Source organism: Homo sapiens, chromosome X (genome assembly GCF_000001405.40).
Source record: "Homo sapiens chromosome X, GRCh38.p14 Primary Assembly".
NCBI classification, from domain to species: domain Eukaryota; kingdom Metazoa; phylum Chordata; class Mammalia; order Primates; family Hominidae; genus Homo; species Homo sapiens.
This window is the reverse complement of record NC_000023.11, coordinates 132,886,544-132,906,349: the sequence shown is the minus strand read 5'-3', so window position 1 is coordinate 132,906,349 and position 19,806 is coordinate 132,886,544. Positions and strand designations below refer to the sequence as shown.

At 39.0% G+C, this 19,806-nt stretch overlaps 1 protein-coding gene across 10 annotated transcripts in view; it reads left to right on the top strand.

The window, feature by feature from the left end:
* The window catches only part of HS6ST2 (heparan sulfate 6-O-sulfotransferase 2), a 335,356-nt gene that overhangs the window by 55,021 nt on the left and 260,529 nt on the right, over window positions 1–19,806 (top strand). The window lies entirely within an intron of this gene.

Here is a 19,806-nt window from a genome sequence, read left to right as displayed (position 1 = left end):
ATTCAGTACAAAAATCAATTGCATTTCAATATACAAAAAATAACATTTAGAGAAATATGTCATTTGCAGTGTTACCAAAAAACATTAAGTGTTTAGGAAAAACCTAACAAAAGCCATGCAAGACCTCTTTGAAGTTTATAAAGCTTTATTGAGAAGCATTCAACATGAGCTAGCTAAGTGGGCAGATAGACTGCACTTGTAGATTAGATGACGTGATATTATAAAACTGGTAATTCTCCCCAAATTGATCCACAGATCCAGTGTAATTGCAATCAAAACCTCAAGTATTTTTGTGGGATTTGTTAATCTGATTCCTTTTTTTTTGAAACAGTGTCTTCCTTTGTCACCCAGGCTGGAATGCAGTGGCATGATCTCGGCTCACTGTAGCCTCAACCTCCCAGACTCAAGTGATCCTCCCACCTGAGCCTCCTGAGTAGCTGGGACTGCAGGCCTACACCACCACACCTGGCTAATTAAAAACATTTTTTCATAGACACAGTGTCCCACTATGTTGCCTAGGCTGTTAAGCTGATTCTTAAACTTGTGAGGTAACGGAAATAGCTAAATTAAGACAAAATATTCTTTTAATTTTTTTTAATATAGAGATGGGGTCTCCCTGTGTTGCCCAGGCTGGTCTCAAATTCCTTGGCTCAAGTGATCCTCCCACCTCAGCTGACAAGGTATTCTTAAACAACAAAATGGGCATACTTGCCCCTCCAAATGTCAGGCTATAATAAATAAGACTTTGTGTTAGCGTTGTAGTAGTTGTCCAGACCAGTGGAACAGAATTTGAGAAACAGATCCAGGAATACATGGAATTTGACATTTCTTAGAGGAGAAATTGCAGATCAGTGGTGAAAGAATTGACTTTTCAAAGTGTGGTAGAACAATTTGACAGCCATGTGTGGAAAAATTTTTCCCAGATTACTACCTTATCATATGCACAAAAAATAAATTCCAGATTTATGAAAAATCTAGGTGTGAAAAGTAAAGCTAAAATGCTCTTTAAAGATAGATAATATAGGAGAGTGTCTCCATGACCTCAGGATAGAAAATAACTTCTTCAACAAGCCATTGAAGCAATAACTGTAAAGGAAAAGTTCATATATTCAGTTTCATTGAAGTGAAGTCATTTTGTTCTTCAAAAGATGTCATAAGGATCATAACAAGACCAACCACAAGTTGGAAGAAGATATTTGCAAAAGCATTACAACAGTGTTTGTTGGTTATCTGGAATACATAGAGAAGAACTATAGCTGGGAAAAATAAATAAATAAATAAATATGGGAAAGACCATTAAGTACTATACAAAAAGAGAAGAGTAAATGGGCAATAAACAAAAACTGCATTTGGCCTTATTAGTAATCAAAAATGCATATTAAAATCACGATGCGGCACCATTATACCATGAGATTGGCAAAACTAAAAATGTCCAAAGCACCAAGCCTTGGTACTGTGGGGATGGAGTTTTACTCAATTCTGTGAGTGTAAGCTGGTACAAGCAGGTTAGAAAACAGTTTGGGGCCGGCTGTGGTTGCTCACACCTGTAATCTCAGCACTTTGGGAGGCCAATGTGGGAGGATTGCTTGAGACCAGGAGTTTGAGACCAGCCTGGGCCACATAGCGAGATCTCTGTCTTTACAAAAAAAAAAAAAATAGCTGGGCCTGGTGGTGTGGGCCTGTAGTCCCAGCTGCTAAGGAGGCTGAGGTGGGAGGGTGCCTTGAGCCCAGGAGTTCGAGGTTGTGCCACTGCATTACGGCCTGAGCGAGAGTGAGACCCTGTCTCTATACACACACACACACACACACACACACAAAGAGAAAAAAAAGAAAATAAAAAAGGAAAGAAGGAAACAGTTTGACACTCTAATAAAGTGGAAGATATGCATACTCTTTTGACCCAGGAATGACCTCATAACTGTTGACCTTAGATATTGCACTATGAGACGCAAAATGAGAATATTCATAGTTTTTAATAGTAAAAGCCGGAAACTTTTAACAATAGGACTATGGGCAACTTATGATATATTCATACAATGGAATGCTAAACAACACACGAGGCTAAGTTTCACAATATTAACTGAGAAGGGCAAATCAAAAAAATTTAAAATATAACTCCATTTATATGAAGTTCATAAACAGGAGAAACTAAACTATATTAGGTGGTAAATTAGATATTACTTGGCAATGCCTAATTTCTTTCCATCTATATTAGGTAGTAATACCTAATTTATTGCTACTTAATATTGCTATATTAGGTAGCAAGCAGCAAGAAGATAATGATCACAAAAGTGAAGAAGTGGAGACCTCTTGGTGAGGGAGGGGAAGTTGATGACTAGAGGGACCTGAGGGAGGCTACCTTTGGGCCATGGCCACATGGGTGCTTACTGCAGTCTTTAATTTGTACATATGGATGAGAACATTGTATGTATGCTATGACTAATCTATAAAATGAGCATATCAATTACTGCAACATAACATATAGTAATTTTTAAAAACCAAGTAACAGAATTGTGGTTAAAAACTACTTTTTTGAGTTTATCTTTTAAGAAACTATATATTATAGATTGTGAAATATTAGCATGAAAACAAGAAAGTCATGTTTTTATGCTGCAAAATAATGGTCACAAATCCTATGTAATAAAAATTGATATTGTGATGTAAAACAAAGGCTATTATTTTCTCACTGGATTTTTCCCCACTGTTTTAGCACCCTTGTTGACAATCATTGACTAAAAATATGAGGATCTGGACTCTTAATTGTATTTATCTATACTTATGCCAACACCATATTTTATTGTCTTGATTAATGTTTTGAAATTGAGAAGTGAGTCCTCCAACTTTGTTCTGGTTTTCATGATTGTTTTGGATATTCTGGGTCTTTTATAGTTCTATGTGAATTTTATGATCAACTCATTGATTTCTGCAAAGAAAAGTAAGATTTTGATAGGGATTACATTGCATCTGTAGATCAATTAGGGGAGTATTGTCATGTTAACAATATCAAGTTTTCTGATTCATGCACATGGGATGTTTTCCCATTTATTTAGGTCCTCTTTAATTTCTTTCTGCAATGTATTTTAGTTTTCAGAGTATAAATTTTAGGCTTATTTTATTAAATTTATTCCTAAGTATTTAATTTCTAGCGATGCTATTGTAAATGGAACAGTGTTCTTAATTTCATTTTTGGTTTGTCCATTGCTACTATATAGATATAAAATTATTGTTGGATATTGGTCATGTATCCTGCAACCTTATTAAAATTGTTTATTAGTTCTAATAAATGTTTACTTTATTCCTTAGGATTTTCTATATACAAGATCATGTCATCTGCAAATAGTTTTACATCCTCTTTTCCAACTGGGGTGCCTGTATTTCCTTATCTTGCCTAATTGGCCTACCTAAAACTTCCAGTACAATGTTGAATAAAAGTGGCTAGAAAAATTATCCTTGTCTTGTTTCTGATCTCAAGGGGAAAGTATCATTCTTTCACCATGGAGTCTGATGTTAGTTGTGGGTTTTTTCTAGTTATTCTTTATCAGGTTGAGGAAGTCCATTCTCCTTTTTTCTTTAAGCTATTGATTATCAGGATGGATTTAGGTGGTCTTGCTGCTTTGGAAATTGTAGACTTCCTTCTTAAAGCCTGCTCCATTTTATCCTTCTAAGATATGCATGATTTTGGAAAGACTACAAGCTTCCCAGTTAGAGGAGGGCCTTCTTGTTTTTCACCCTACATACAATGAGCCTCCTTGTTGGATGCCAAAGTAAGGTCTTTACATCCTTCATTCCCTACAGACCAGGCTTCTTAAATTATCAGGCCACAGGTAACAAATATATTTCATCTCCTGTACCAATTCTGATGTTTTGGTAGTAGCTGCCCGAAGGATTGTTAAGAAGGAATCTGAGGCCAGGCACAGTCTCAGTGCTGTCATTAATTAGTGTTATCTGGCCTGGTGCACTGGCTCAGGCCTGTAATCCCAACACTTTGGGAAGCCAAGGCTGGCAGATTGTTTGAGCTCAGGAGTTTGAGACCTGCCTGGGCAACATGGTGAAACCCCGCCTCTACCAAAAAATACAAAAGCTAGCTGGGCATGGTGGCACACGCCTGTGGTCCCAGCTACTCAGGAGGCTGAGGTGGGAGGATTGCTTGAGCCCAGGAGGTGGAGGCTGTAGTGAGCCGAGATCACACAACTGCACTCCAGCCTGGGTTAAAGAGCAAGAGCCTGTCTCAAAAAAAAAAAAAAAAATGAGTGATATGTGTCACTGGTCTGGTAGTAGGGAAGGCTGCAAATTGATACAACTTCTGGATTAGACTGTGCCTGTGCCTCAACCAATTCCAGTGGCCTTTTTCTCAGTGCCCTCCGTACTCCTTCAACAACATTAAATCTTATGGTCCATACCCCTTTGTACCACCCTCTCTTCTTTAGATCTCTGTTACAAAGCAATATTCTGGGTCTCCTGTAAAGTCTCTGGCCTTCCCTCCCCCGACTTTTCCCCTCAACATATCTCTCTAGCTTTCTCAACTGAGCCTTTGATCCTGTGTACTGTTTGCTTGGGATATTTTGCCCTTCTTTTACATCTCTCCTTGCTGAAAATTGTGCCATTCTTCAAGGTCCATCTCAAATCTGCTTCCCTGGTTTTCCCCATACCTGAGAGACTGTTCTGCCCTTAAACTGCCAAGGCATAGGATATTTGGGTACCATACCTAGAATTGTTTTCCTTCATGTACTTTTCTGAGTTCCTGCCCAGTACTGAAAATATGAAATTTTTTAAGTCCAGGCAGGGACTTTATATTCTTAGCATATGACTCCCTGCTTTTACTATGGTGGATGCTCAATAAATGTTTGGTCCTTTTAAACTCTTTGCTTGCTGTCTATTGGAATGATTATTTTTAAGATTTCATGTTATTTCTATTATAGGCTCATTAGTAATGCTCTTTATTTTGTGTTTTTCCTGGTGTTTATTCCAGGACATACAATATATAACAATTTAGTATTAGTACACATATATAACTAGGTTATATATTGCTGCATGACAACCTGTCTTCGAATTTAGTGGCTTAAAACAACAAACATTTATTATCTAATAGTTTTAGTGAGTTAGGAATCTAGGCATGGCTTTGCTGGGTTCTCTGGCTCAAGGTCTCTCACAAGGCTGCAATCAAGATGTTGGCTGGGGCTGCAGTCATTTCTTCTGAAGGCTTGATTGAGGGAGGATGCAATTCTAAGCTCATGCATGTGGTTGTTGGAAGGATTCAGTTCCTTGTAGTCTGTTGGACTGAAGGCCTCAGTTCATCACTGACTGTCAGCTGGAAACCCCCATCAGTTCCTTGCCCCATGGAACTCTGCATAGGGCAATTTGCCACATAGCATCTATTTTCATCAGAGAAAGTGAAAGATAATAAGAGAGGGTGAACAAGAGAGAAGGCAGAGTCTTTTTTTTTGTACCATAATCTTGGAAGTGACATCTTAGTACTTTTGCGCTATTCCATTTGTTATGAGTCATTATATCCATCACCCATTCAAAGGGCAGGTATTACACAATGACATGAATAACAGATGTTGTGGATCATTGGAAGTCATCTTAGAGGCTGCCTACCATAACATCCTTCTAACTTTTAATATTCTACCTTGAAATAATAATATACCATTTTAGATGGTATATTATTCATGTGAAAACCTATAACAATATATTTTAATTTTCCTCTTCTCAGCCTTTGAACTACCTTTCTCATCATTTTTCTACATATGTTATACCACATATAGTACAATATAGTATTATTTAATTAATTTATTTATTAGAGATAGGGTCTTGCTATGTTGCCTAGGCTGTTTTTGAACTCTTGGCCTCAAGCAGTCCTCCCACTTCAGCCTCCAAAAGTGCTAGGATTATAGGCATGAGCCACTATATCTGGCCTATTATTTTTGATTTAAATAATTATCTTTTAAAGAGATTTTACAAATGAGAAACCAATATTTAATATTTATGCACATTTTTATCATTTACAGTGTTCTTCATTCCTTTTTGTAGCTCCAGCATCCCATCTGGTGTTATTTTCCTTGTGATGAAAGAACTTTATTATTTCTTATAGTGTTGGTCTCCTTGCAATGAATTCTCCCTCAAAAAAGGAAAAAGAAATAAGAAGTGTAAGAATTGATAGGGAAGATATAAAACTATCATTACTTGCAGTTGGTATGATCATCTGCAGAAGAAAAACAAGATAATGGATAGAAAAAATGATAAAAACTAATAAGAAAATGCAGCAACTTATAAAAATCAATAGCGTTTCTCTGTACCGATGATAACTGATCCAAAAACAGCTGGACTTCTGGCAGTAATTTTCTCAGACTGCTCCCTTATTTCACCTAATTTTTGAAAGACAGTTTTTTTTTTCTGTAAATAGAATGATAAGGTGTCAGTTTTTTCTTTCAATACTTCAAAGATGTCACACTATTGTTTTTGGTTTGCATAGCTTCTGATGAGAAGTATGCCATCATTTTTATCTTTGTTCCTTTGAACAACTTTCACATTTTTTCAGTACTTAGATAATGATTTGCTATGGTGTGGTTTTTTCCTTTTATTTTTGGCTTACAGTCCATTGAAATTTTTAGACTTGCGCATTTATAGTTTTCATAAAATTTGCAAAACTTTTGGTCCTTTTTCTTCGAATATTTTGGTACTTCATTGAACCCTGTGGTGTTTCCCATAGCTAACTGATGCTCTGTTCTGTTTGTCTCAGTCTTTTTTCTCTATGTATTTCATTTTGACCAGTTTCTATTGCTGTGTCTTTAGGTTCATTCATCTTTTCTTCCGCAGTGTCTATTGTACTAGAAATCCCAGCCTATGTATTTTTCATTACAGATACTGTATGTTTCATGTCTAGATGTTTGATTTGAGTCTTTCCTGTACCCTCCATGTTTCTACTTAACATGCCCAGTCTTTCCTCTAGCTCCCCTATTAAATGGGAGCATATATATAATGACTATATTTTAATGTCCTTATATGTTAAGTCTATAATTTGTGTCATCTTAGTTTGTTTCTGTTGATTGATTTTTCTCCATTTAAGAGTTGTATCTTTCTAATTCTTTGCATGTCTGATAATTTTTGATTGGATGTTGGACATTATGGATTTTATATTGTTGGGTGCTTTATTTTATCATATTTCTTTAAATACTATTAAACTTTGAACCAGCATGCAGTTAATTGGAATCAGTTTGATCCTTTTGAGGCTTGATTTTTATGCTTTCTTAGGGTAGTATCAACGTAGCCTTTAGCCTGCAGCTAATTTTATTTCACTACCAAGACAATACACTTTTCAGGGCTCTAATTATTGCCCCATATATCACAAGGTCTTTCCATTCTGCTGGTAGGAACACAAACTGTTCCTGTGTCTTTGTGAGCTTCTGGGGACTGGCCCTCCTACTTTTTCTTTTTTTAGCAATTCTTTTATTGGTCTTGGGTAGTTTCCTCCCATACGTATGCCAATCAGTACTCAGCCAAAGACATAAAGGGATCCATCTGAAGACCTCCAGAGCTCTCTCCTATGTAGCTCTCTTCTCTCTGGAACTTTTTCCCACAAGTTTTAATTATTTTGGCCTCCCTCTTCCCTGATTTCTGTCTTCTCAATGCAGGAAATCACTGGGCTGTTTGCACTGCATCGTGGAAAGCCTCTCCAGTCAGTAAGCTAGGGAAGATTTAGGGGTGCCTCACTTGTTCCCCTTCTCTGAGGGCTAGCAATCTTGTACTGACTGTTGTCTAGTGTCTGAAAGCCATTTTTTTTTCATGTATTTTGTCCAGTTTTTTAGTTGTTTAATCTGATTGCTTTTACTCCATCATGGTTGGAAGCAAAAGTTGTTAATACGTTTTTGTGATGCCAGACTGAACTTTCATTGTTTGGCTATTCAAGGGCTAACTCTTCAGCTTATTAAAATGCAGAGAAGCTTATATATATATATATATATATATATAACCTTATGTTGATAAAGAGAGCATATATGACAGGACACCTTTTTTTCAAACTGAGTAGTTAGTAGAAGCATCTAGAAGAGAAAACATTTGGTTTTCTAAACTATTAGGAAGATATTAAGCCATTTAGGGCAGTGTTCCCCAATCATTTTGGCACCAGGGAACAGTTTCGTAGAAGACAATTTTTCCACGGACAGGGGGAGGTGGGGGATGGTTTCGGGATGAAACTGTTCCACCTCAGATCATCAAGCATTAGATTCTCATGAGGAGCGCAACCTAGATCCGTTGCATGCAGAGTTCACAATAGGGTTGGCACTCCTATAAGAATCTAATGACGCCACTGATCTGACAGGAGGCGGAGCTCAGGCAGTAATGCTTGCTGGCCCGCTGCTCACCACCTGCTGTGCAGCCTGGTTCCTAACAAGCCATGGACCAGTACCCATTCGTGGCCCAGGGATGGGGACTTCTGATTTATAACTTTGAGTCACTCAGGCTAACAGCATCATGGTTAAGGGGATATTTAGCAACAGAAATAAAGTGACTTTTCTGAGAGTATGCAATGACTCCATTCGCCCTAGGTCCAAAATGATGAGAATTGAAACACATATGTTACTAAGATTGTAAATGGAAGAGGGCGGAGGGAGGTGGTGAACATCAGCATAGGGCAGAAGTTGTCACATCCACACTTTCTTGTATGTCCCCTATTCCTGGAGCTGCCTTCCCTATTTTTTTGCATGTCTAAAGAGCAAGTCATATCACTGATCTCTGAATAATAAAAGTTACCATTTATTCAGTGCTTATTATGTTCCTTGCACTGTGCTAAGTTTATATATTATCTTTCACTGAATCCTCACATCTGCCTATGAGGTGGGTGCTATTACTATTACCATTTTATAGATGAGGAAATTCAGATATAGAGAGGTTTAATTATGTACTTAAAGGCTATACAGATTAGTGATTGGCTGAGCTAGGACTAGAACCCAGGCTTTTTGACTCCATACTCTGTACTTTTGCCTTCATGTCTCCACCTGAGTTGGGATTTCCTGTTCTTCCAAATCAATCTCGGCATTATTTAGCACTGACCACGATTCTTTGCATCCCTTGCCCCCGCTCCCCCCGCCCCCAGCACCTCCAAGTATCTATTTTAGGCGACTCCAGCTCAGGAAGAGCCTCGATGTTACTCGGCAACAGGTATCTCTCAACCTCTAAAATGTTCCACCTTCTGATAGAATTCCACCTTATAGTTTTGTCATGTTGCTTCCTTCAACACTAGATGGTGGACTTCCTCATTGTCTCCTGATTAGACCTTAATCACTGCTGCCTTTAAATGTCATGTTCCTTCAAAGCTCAAGACTTAGTTGGCTCTTTCAGTTAGTCTTTCCTGATGGATCACATGCTGTCGAAATCCTTCTAATGCTTTGAATTATCAGCATTTACCTTGGATTTGGTTAGATGGTCTTTCTGACTTTCTCTGAGATTCTCTGGTACTTTGAATCTCTTTCTAGATGTTTATGACATAGCACCCCTATATTCATATTATAACCTGCTCAAAATTCCCAATCATAGAATATTTACTGAGTTCCTAATATGAGCAAAACACTGATTTTAACATTGCCCTTCTCTTTTGAGACAATCAGTGTTTCCACTGTTTAATTTTTAATTTTTTGTGGGTACATAGTAGATATATGTATTTATGGGGTATGTGAGATATTTTAATACAGGCATGTAATACGTAATAATCACATCATGTAAAATGGGGTATCCATCCCCTCAAGCATTTACCCTTTGAGTTACAAACAATCCAATTACACTCTTTAAGTTATTTTATAATGTGCATTTAAGTTATTATTGACTCTAGTCACCTTATTGTGCTATCAAATAGTAGGTCTTACTCATTCTTTTTTTTTTTTTTTTGAGACGGAGTCTGGCTCTGTAGCCCAGGATGGAGTGCAGTGGCACAATCTTGGCTCACTACAAGCTCCGCCTCCTGGGTTTATGACATTCTCCCACCTCAGCCTCCCGAGTAGCTGGGACTACAGGTGTTCACCACCACGCCTGGGTAATTTTTTTGTATTTTTAGTAGAGACGAGGTTTTACCGTGTTAGCCAGGATGGTCTCGATCTCCTGACCTCGTGATCCACCCGCCTCCGCCTCCCAAAGTGCTGGGATTACAGGCATGAGCCAACACTCCCGGCTCATTCTTTCTAACTATTGTTTTTGTACCCATTAACCATCCTCACCCATCCCCAGTCCCCCACTTCCCTTCCCAGCCTCTGGTAATCATCCTTCTACTCTCTGTCTCCTTGAGTTCAACTGTTTTGACTTTTAGATCCCACAAATAAGTGAGAACATATGATGTTTGTCTTTCTATGCTTGGATTAATTCACTTAACATAAAGTCTTTAAACTCTTCATGTTTATTATTCCTCCAATTATTTAATATGAAGATCTGCCTGGTGACAGTATTGGAGTGACGCTCCTATAGAACCAAAAGAGGCACCTGAGTTGCAGTTTTCATCAAAGTCATGTAGTATACACCATAGGCATTCAGAGTCACTGTCAGTCCATTGATAAGATGTAAGGCAACAGATTAGAACCCACAGCCCAGTGTCAGCAAGCAGAAGTGATGATTGATACCAGTGAGAGGAAATAGATGAACTAACAAGTATGGCCAGCTGCCAGATAGTTGTTTATATGTCAGTATCATCATTGAGCATCACATTATCATAACCTAGTACAGTAATAGATATTCCTAAAGACTGAGACAAAATGCATATAAAGCCCTCATCTAATGCCTGACACGCATAAAGCACAGAATAAAGTGTGTGTCTATGTATATACATTTTATATATACACACAAATATACAAATGAAAAGGCTAAATTATAATCATTGTATTTTATATATATCATATATATGTGTATATGTATGTATATCATTATATACATTGTACCTTATAGAAGAGAAGTATACATGACATTTTAGAATGATTTCCGTGGAAGTAGCTAGAATTAAAAAATATTTTTCGTTTATTGAGAAGTACTTTCAGTTATCACAGTGCAACACTGCTTTCTGTAATGAGGCTAGAAAAATGAGGAGCCATTGTATTTAATAAAATAAGAATTTTTTCTGTCTCCATGGTAAGATTAACGAACACACTTCAACATAAAGTAATACAATTGCTACCTTCTTCCTGGTGGCATGCTCCCTGTGTTAAATTTAAGTGACAGTAAAACGTAATGAGTTAGAGGAGAAAAATTTTAATTTATTCGTTTATTTGAATAGGGAAACCCAAGAGATCAGTGATAGAATTTGAACTGCGAGACAAAAAGAAAGAAGAGGTTTTAGTTTTGTAGCTAAAATTAAGGTGGTGGCACTTGAAGTGAAATTTAAAAATACACATTCACTTAGTTTTCTTGGCCATATTCTGCTTCTCATGTGAAACTGGACTTCCTGCCTTTTAGCCTTGTATTCTGTCCCTTTGGAAACTGTATCATCTTTTAAAAATGAAGTACGTGACTTTCCTAATGATCTTTTATATTATAAAAATAGGCCGGGCTCAGTGGCTCATGCCTGTAATCCCAGCATTTTGGGAGGCCGAGGCTGGTGGATCACTTGAGGTCAGGAGCTCGAGACCAGCCTGGCCAACATGGTGAAACCCTGTCTCTACAAAAATACAAAAATTAGTCGGACATGGTGGCACATGCCTGTAATCCCAGCTACTCAGGAGGCTGAAGCAGGAGAATCACTTGAACCCCAGAGGCAGAGGTTGCAGTGAGCTGAGATTGTGCCACTGCACTCCAGCCTGGGCAACAGAACAAGACTCCATCTCAGAAAAGAAAATAACATCAAAATAAATAACATAACATAACATAACATAACATAACATAACATAACATAACATAACATAACATAACAATAGGAATTTCAAAAAATCTGAAACCCGGGCCTGGCACAGTGGCTCACACCTGTAATTCCAGCACTTTGGGAGGCTGAGACGGGTGGATCACCTGACGTCAGGAGTTTGTGACTAGCCTGACCAACATGGTGAAACCCCATCTCTACTAAAAATACAAAAATCAGCCGGGCGTGGTGGCGCATGCTGTAATCCCAGCTACTCAGGAGGCTGAGGTACAAGAATCGCTTGAACCCAGGAGGTAGAGGTTGCAGTGAGCTGAGATTGCGCCATTGCAATCCAGACTGGGCAACAAGAACAAAACTTCGTCTCTCTCCCCACCTCCCCCCCCACAAAAAAAAAAAAAACCTGAAACCCATCATGACTATATCATGATGCTGTAGCCTCAAAATGGACTTCACAAGTTCACCTGTGATTCCCTCAAAAGCACTTGAGTTTTGATTTGCTGATTGCCAGAAGTGTATTTGAACAGTCCCACTTTATATGGAGCCCCAAGCATATTAAATGGAGATTCCAGATAATTAGTGAGCTCTGGATGAAGCTCCTGGGATGCAGTGGGGAAAAAACTGGATCTGGAGTGTTAAGGTTTGGGCTCTGGGCCTGACTTTTTCCCTTATCATTTGGAAATTAGGCTCAGGATTGTGTATTGGGGAAACACAGCAAGCTGTATGCCTATAGTAAATAGACACCCTGTTTAGTGGCATTCAATAGACCTCAATGCCATATTCATTCTTCCCCAACCCTATCTGTCTTGGCTTCAGGCAGATCTTGGCATAGGGCACCCTCATCCTCCCCCACTGCCACCTAGCTCCTGGGTGAATGTCTCCCAGCCTGGGAAGAGTTCTGTTGAACTTCATGAACAATGCTGTCTGCCTAGCATTGGAGCTCATACCCTGAGACTTTGCCTTAGTCCTCTCCTTTGTGCCCAGAGGCATACATTTGAGAGACAGTCAATAGAGCCTTAGACCCCTAACTTTGCACATATAAGTCCTATGAACCATCTGGGCCACTCACTCTGCTTAGAGCAATTGCACACTGCTCCCTCTCCTTTCCTTCCATTTACATCTACAGGGAGATTTTTAGTTTACTAAGCCCTGGTAAATGACAGTTACTAAGATGTAATACAAATCTTAACAGTGGGAACAGTGACTACTGTTTATCACGTGAATACTATAAGTCAAGCACAACAACCCTTTGTGGTGCTGCTAGAGTTAAGGAGGCATCCTCAGAGGTTGAGGAATGTGCCCAACCTCAGATGCTAGCAAATGGTAGAGCTTTGTTCAGAGTCCAGGTCCTCATTCTACCACATCTCACTGCCTCTTTATGTTCTGATGTCTCTACTGTGTATATCAATGCTTCTCAAACGCAGTATGTACACAGTTGGCCCTCTATATCCGTGGGTTCCACATTTATGGATTCAACCTACCACAGACAGAAAATATTTCAAATAAAAAGCAATAAAACATAACAATACAACAATAAAAATAAGACAAATTTTAAAAGCAATACAGTGTAATAACTGTTTATATAGCATTTACATTTATTGGATACGAGAAGCACTCTAGAGATGACTTAAAGCATATGGGGGATGTGTAGAGGTTATACACAAATACTTTGCCATTTTATTTATTTGTGTGTTTGGGTTTCTTTTTAAGATGGAGTCTCACTCTGTCACCCAGGCTGGAGTGCAGTGGCACAATCTCGGCTCACTGCAACTTCCACCTCCCAGGTTCAGATGATTCTCCTGCCTCAGCTTCCGGGGTAGCTGGGATTACAGACATGCACACCCACGCCCAACTAATTTTTGTATTTTTAGTAGAGACGGGGTTTCACCATATTGGCCAGGCTGGTATCGAACTCCTGACCTCAAGTGATCAGGCTGCTTTGGCCTCCCAAAATGCTGGGATTACAGGCGTGAGCCACCATGCCCAGCCTGTGTTGCCATTTTATATCAGGCTCTTGAACATTTGTGGATTTTGGTACCACAGGGGGTCTTGGAACATTGCAATACTCTATGAATACTGAGGGACGACTGTATACATATCACCTGGGAATCTTGGGAAATGCAGATTCTGATCTTGTACCTCTGGCATGAGGCCTTGATTCTGTGTTTCTATCAAGTTCCAAGGTGCTGCTGCTGCTACTGATCCATGGACCACATTTTGAGTAGCAAGAGTGTGCACTATCAGAAATACAAGGGGAGTCAAGAATCTTATAACCGGATTGGACATTTTTAACAAAAATACTGTTGAAAATTTACAGGATAAATTTTTGAACATTTTGAAAGAACAAAATGTTTTATCAACTAGAACTTTGCTTCATTTTCAATATGGTCTTCAAAAACAAAAACAAAAAATCAAAACCACAATGAGATACCATCTCACACCAGTTAGAATGGCGATCATCAAAAAGTCAGGAAACAACAGGTGCTGAAGAGGATGTGGAGAAATAGGAACACTTTTACACTGTTGCTGGGACTGTAAACTAGTTCAACCATTGTGGAAGTCAGTGTGGTGATTCCTCAGGGATCTAGAACTAGAAATACCATTTGACCCAGCCATCCCATTACTGGGTATATACCCAAAGGACTATAAATCATGCTGCTATAAAGACACATGCACACATATGTTTGTTGTGGCACTATTCACAATAGGAAAGACTTGGAACCAACCCAAATGTCCAACAATGATAGACTGGATTAAGAAAATGTGGCACATATACACCGTGGAATACTATGCAGCCATAAAAAATGAGGAGTTCATGTCCTTTGTAGGGACATGGATGAAACTGGAAATCATTATTGTCAGTAAACTATCGCAAGGACAAAAAATCAAACACCGCATGTTCTCACTCATAGGTGGGAATTGAACAATGAGAACACATGGACACAGGAAGGGGAACATCACACTCTGGGGCCTGTTGTGGGGTGGGGGGAGTGTGGAGGGATAGCATTAGGAGATATACCTAATGCTAAATGACGAGTTAATGGGTGCAGCACACCAGCATGGCACATGTATACATATGTAACTAACCTGCACATTGTGCACATGTACCCTAAAACTTAAAGTAGAATAATAATAAAAAAAAAAATAAAAAAAACTTTTGTTCTTTCAGTTAACATTTTTTTTTTTTTGGTAAACATTTGGATAAGGAAACCTGCTTATCCAAATGTTTACCAAAACAGTATCATCCAGATGATGACAGTTTTGCCCCACTTGCTGAATTCAGCTTCACATTGCTGACACTCTAAGCAGGGGTCTTTGAATGTGCTTCGGGAGATTCACACTTCTCCTCCCCATGATCATATACACAGTCATTCATATATGTTTCTTTGTACATGTTCTGAGGAAGAATCGGAACTGTTCATCACATTCTCCTTGGACTTGCAAACCAGTGCTCCAGGAGAAAGGTGCACTCCTTCTAATGGTTCTGGAATTCCCCATCACCAAATCCTTGACCAAGAAGAATACATAGTAATATATGCAATTTATTTGTATCAGGTGCTATGAGTTCTCAGGCTGCTGACTACATAATTGAAGCCCTTGGAAAATGCCAGTTGAATGCTATAATTAGGTAAAAATAAATGCACTAGGCCTTTTAGATAACTTTCCAGATGATTGTCAGCCAAAGCCCAGGCAGAAGTACTCCCTAATTTCCCTAGAGCTGAAAGTCAGTGACCTTCAGCTTCCCTTTTCCACCCTTGTGATTGTCATTAGGGCTGTGCATGTAGCACCCTCAGCCAGCAATACGGTAGAAGTGAGGCTCATCGTTACTTACCTAGGTCTCTGCATTTTCAATATCTATCTGCAAAATGAGCTTGATCAATATTTAATTATTAGTCACCAGGAGGTAATTAGAGTTACAGAAACCAAAAAGAATACATATAGATGAGCTCAAGGTGTTCTGAGCACACCAAACCATTCTGACGATTCAACATGGAAACAGCTCTGATCCCAATAATAGCCATAGAAGCCTACCTTTAAAACCCATCCCTGCTCATTTTTATTAGGTTGGTGCACAAGTAATTGCGGGTTTTGCCATTACTTTTAATGGCAAAAACTGCAATTACTTATGCACCAACCTAATGCATTTCCATCATTTTCATAGACCTGAGCACTTATGAGCCATGGCCTTGTAGTCAGACTGCATGGATTCAAATCCCAATTATTCCACTTAATAGTTGTATGACCTTGGTACATTATTGTCCTCTCTAGTCTCAGTTTCTTCTTCCTGCAACATAAGAATAATGATGCTAATAATAATAGTGATAGATAGTACTGCTCTCATGGGGTAGTTTTCAGATTAAATGAAATGATCTATGTCAAGCACACAGCCAAATGACTGGCACATAGCAAGTACTCACTAAATGCTAACTGTTGTTATTACTTTCTAGGCCAAAAACAATATGTCCTCTTTAACAGGAGCATTGGGTACAAAGAGTTACTGTTGCCTATGAACCTTAACTCTTTCAGTTAGTGGAGGAGAAATTAAAAATCTTTGTGTTATCTATTCTGTTCCCTTGGTCTTTGTGCCTATTTTTATACTAGTACCATGTTGTTTTGGTGACTGTAGCCTTGTAGTATAGTTTGAAGTCAGGCAATGTGATGCCTCCAGATATGTTCTTTTTGCTTAGTCTTGCTTTGGCTATGTGGGCTAATTTTAGGATTGTTTTTTCTAGTTCTGTAAAGAATGATGGTGGCATTTATCTATCATCGTCTTTCCTTCCACCCAGAACATCAGAGCTAGTTGCTACTTACTTCCACATTGCCTCTCTGTTTCTCCACCTTCCTAGCTTTGATGATCTGCATTTCTGCTCCATTGTACTTCCCTCACATACCCACTACCAAGGTCACATATTTAACCTTACACTTTCGTATGTGGATCCACTCCTAAGACCTCAACCTCTGACTACATTCATCTTGGACTACATACATCTCTTCCTTTCTCACCTCAGAATCTGCTCTTGGTATTCCCAGGACTCATTGATCTTCATACCGTTCCCTTTGACCCAGTATAGAAGCTTCTCCCTACTTTCAGCCACTTCCCCCCTTCTCTTGCCATGGATTCACACTCTCCTGTATCCTGCACACCATTGCCAGTCATTTCAACAGATGACTCATAATTCCAAAATCCCTCAACACCATAATCTTATATCATTCTTGATTTAATCCCCAGCATAATCTCTCTGCTCTTGAAGTACCAAGTGTTGGTGGAAAAAGTTGCAAAATGATGCTCATTGGGTACACAGATCAGTAGTACTTTCTGATCTTAGCTGGGCCCTCCCTACTGCTTGAATGCTCTCTTGGATGCTCTTGTATTCCTCTCTTGCCATCTTCTCAGAGAGGCAGGATGGCACAGCAGTTAATAGCCCAAGCACAGGCAACTGATGAGACTTAGACGCTGAAATCCTGGGTCTGCTACTTGCTGCCTGTATGATTGGGAAAATTGATCTAATCTTAGGCTTTAGTTTTCTTCACCTGTAAATTGGGATTGCTCCTCACCTTAGGGGATTGCTTGTGAATACCAAATGAGATCATATATGGAAAGCACTTATAACACAGTGAATGGCACACGAAGTACAAACACACACACACACACATGCACACAAGCACATACACATCAGCTCTATTGAGGTATGAATTATATACCATAAAATCTACCAATTGTGGCAGGACACGTTGGCTCACACCTGTAATCCCAGCGCTTTGGGAGGCCAAGGAGGGCAGATCACTTGAGCCCAAGAGTTCACGACCAGCCCAAGCAACATGGTGAAACCCTGTCTCTACAAAAAATAGAAAAATTAGCAGGACATGGTGGTGCGTGCCTGTAATCCAGCTACTCGGGAGGCTGAGGCATGAGAATTGCTTGAGCCCAGGAGGCGGAGGTTGCAGTGAGCTGTGATCATGCTGTTGCACTCCAGCCTGGGCAACTGTAATGAAACTCTGATATGGTTTGGCTGTGTCCCCACCCAAATTTCATCTTGAATTGTAACTCTCATAATTCCCACGTGTCGTGGGAGGGACCTGGTGGGAGATAATTGAATCATGGGGGCGGGTATTTCTTGTGCTGTTCTTGTGACAGTGAATAAGTCTCATGAGATCTGATGGTTTTATAAATGGGAGTTCCCCTGCACAAGCTCTTTATTGCCTGCCACCATGTAAGATGTCCCTTTGTTCTTCCTTTGTCTTCCACCATGATTGTGCGGCCTCCCCAGCCATGTGGAACTAAGAGTCCATTATTAATCTTTATAAATTACCCAGTCTCGGGAATGTCTTTATTAACAGCATGAGAACAGACGAATACAAACTCTTTCTTAAAAAAAATCTACCAACTGTAATTGTACAATTTAATGATTTTAGAATATTTATACAGTTGTGCAATTGTCATAATCTAGTTTTAGAACACTTCCATTACCCCACAAAATTCCAATGTGCCTGTTTACAAACAGGCAATTGTAGTCAATTGCCATTTTCACTCTTGACCTCTGGCAACCACTGAGTGAACCACTTTCTATAATTTTGCTTTTTCTTGACATTCACATAAATGGAGCCATATAACATGTAGTCTTTTGCATCTGACTTCTTTCACACATTATAATATTTTGGGGGTTTGTGCATGTGGCATCATGTATCAGTACTTTATTCCTTTTGATGGCCAAATAATATTCCATTTTGTGGCTATACCACATTTTGTGTGTCCATTCATCAGTAGATGGATATTTGAATTGTTTCCTCAGTGTTTCCAATTGTGAATAATGTTGCTATGAATATTTGTATACAGCTCTTTGTGTGGAAATATATTTTCATTCCTCTTAGATCTGTACCTAGGAGTGGAATTGCTGGGTTATATGGTAAGTGTGTGTTTAATTTTTAAGAAACTGCCAAAGAATGTTTTAAAGTGTCAGTACCATTATACCTTCTCAATAGCAATATATGAGATTCCAGTTTCACCACATTCTCAACAATACTTGTTAGTGTCTATCTTTTATTACAGTCACTCTAGTGAATGTACAGTGGTTCTCCTTTTGCTTTTAATTTAATTTCCCTGATGTCTAATGACAATTGATGGCATATACTTATTAAACATTCACAGATCTCCTTTGATGAAATGCCTATTCAAATATTTTGCTTATAATTGGTTTATGTTCTCATTATTGAGTTGTAAGAGCTCTTTATATAGTATAGATACAAGTCCTTTATCAGTTCTGCCCATAATGAATTCTCTCAGACTTTGTTTATCTGGGAATAGCCTTATTTTGCCTTCATTTTCAAAGGACAGTTTTACTGCATGTAGAATTATTGGTTACCTTTTTTCATCTTTCAGCATTTTTTTTTTTTGAGACAGAGTCTTGCTCTGTCACCAAGGCTGGAGTGCAGTGGCCTAATCTCAGCTCACTGCAACCTCTGTTCCCAGGTTCAAGCAATTCTCCTGCCTCAGCCTCCTGAGTAGCTGGGACTACAGGTGTGTGCCACTACGCTCAGCTAATTTTTGTATTTTTAGTAGAGACGGGGTTTCATCATGTTGGTCAGGCTGGTCTCAAACTCCTGACCTCAAGTGATCTGCCCTCCTTGGCCTCCCAAAGTGCTGGGATTACAGGCGTGAGCCACCATGCCTGGCCCTCTCAGCATTTTGAATGTTACTCCACTACCTACAGCCTCCATTGTTTCAGACAAAAAGAGCATTAATTGTATTGATGCTCTACTGTACATAAGAGGCTTTTTTCTGTTGTTTCTTTCTAGATTTTTCTATCCTGTCTTCTCTTTTTTGTTTTTGTCTACATCATTATCTTCCCCTTCCCTCCCCTCAGTCTCTCTCTTTGGGCTTTCAACATTTTGGCCATTATGTTCCTAGGTGTAGAATTTTTGTATTAATCCTACTTGGGATTCTTTGATCTTTTTGGTTGTAGGCTATTTATTTTTTAATCAAA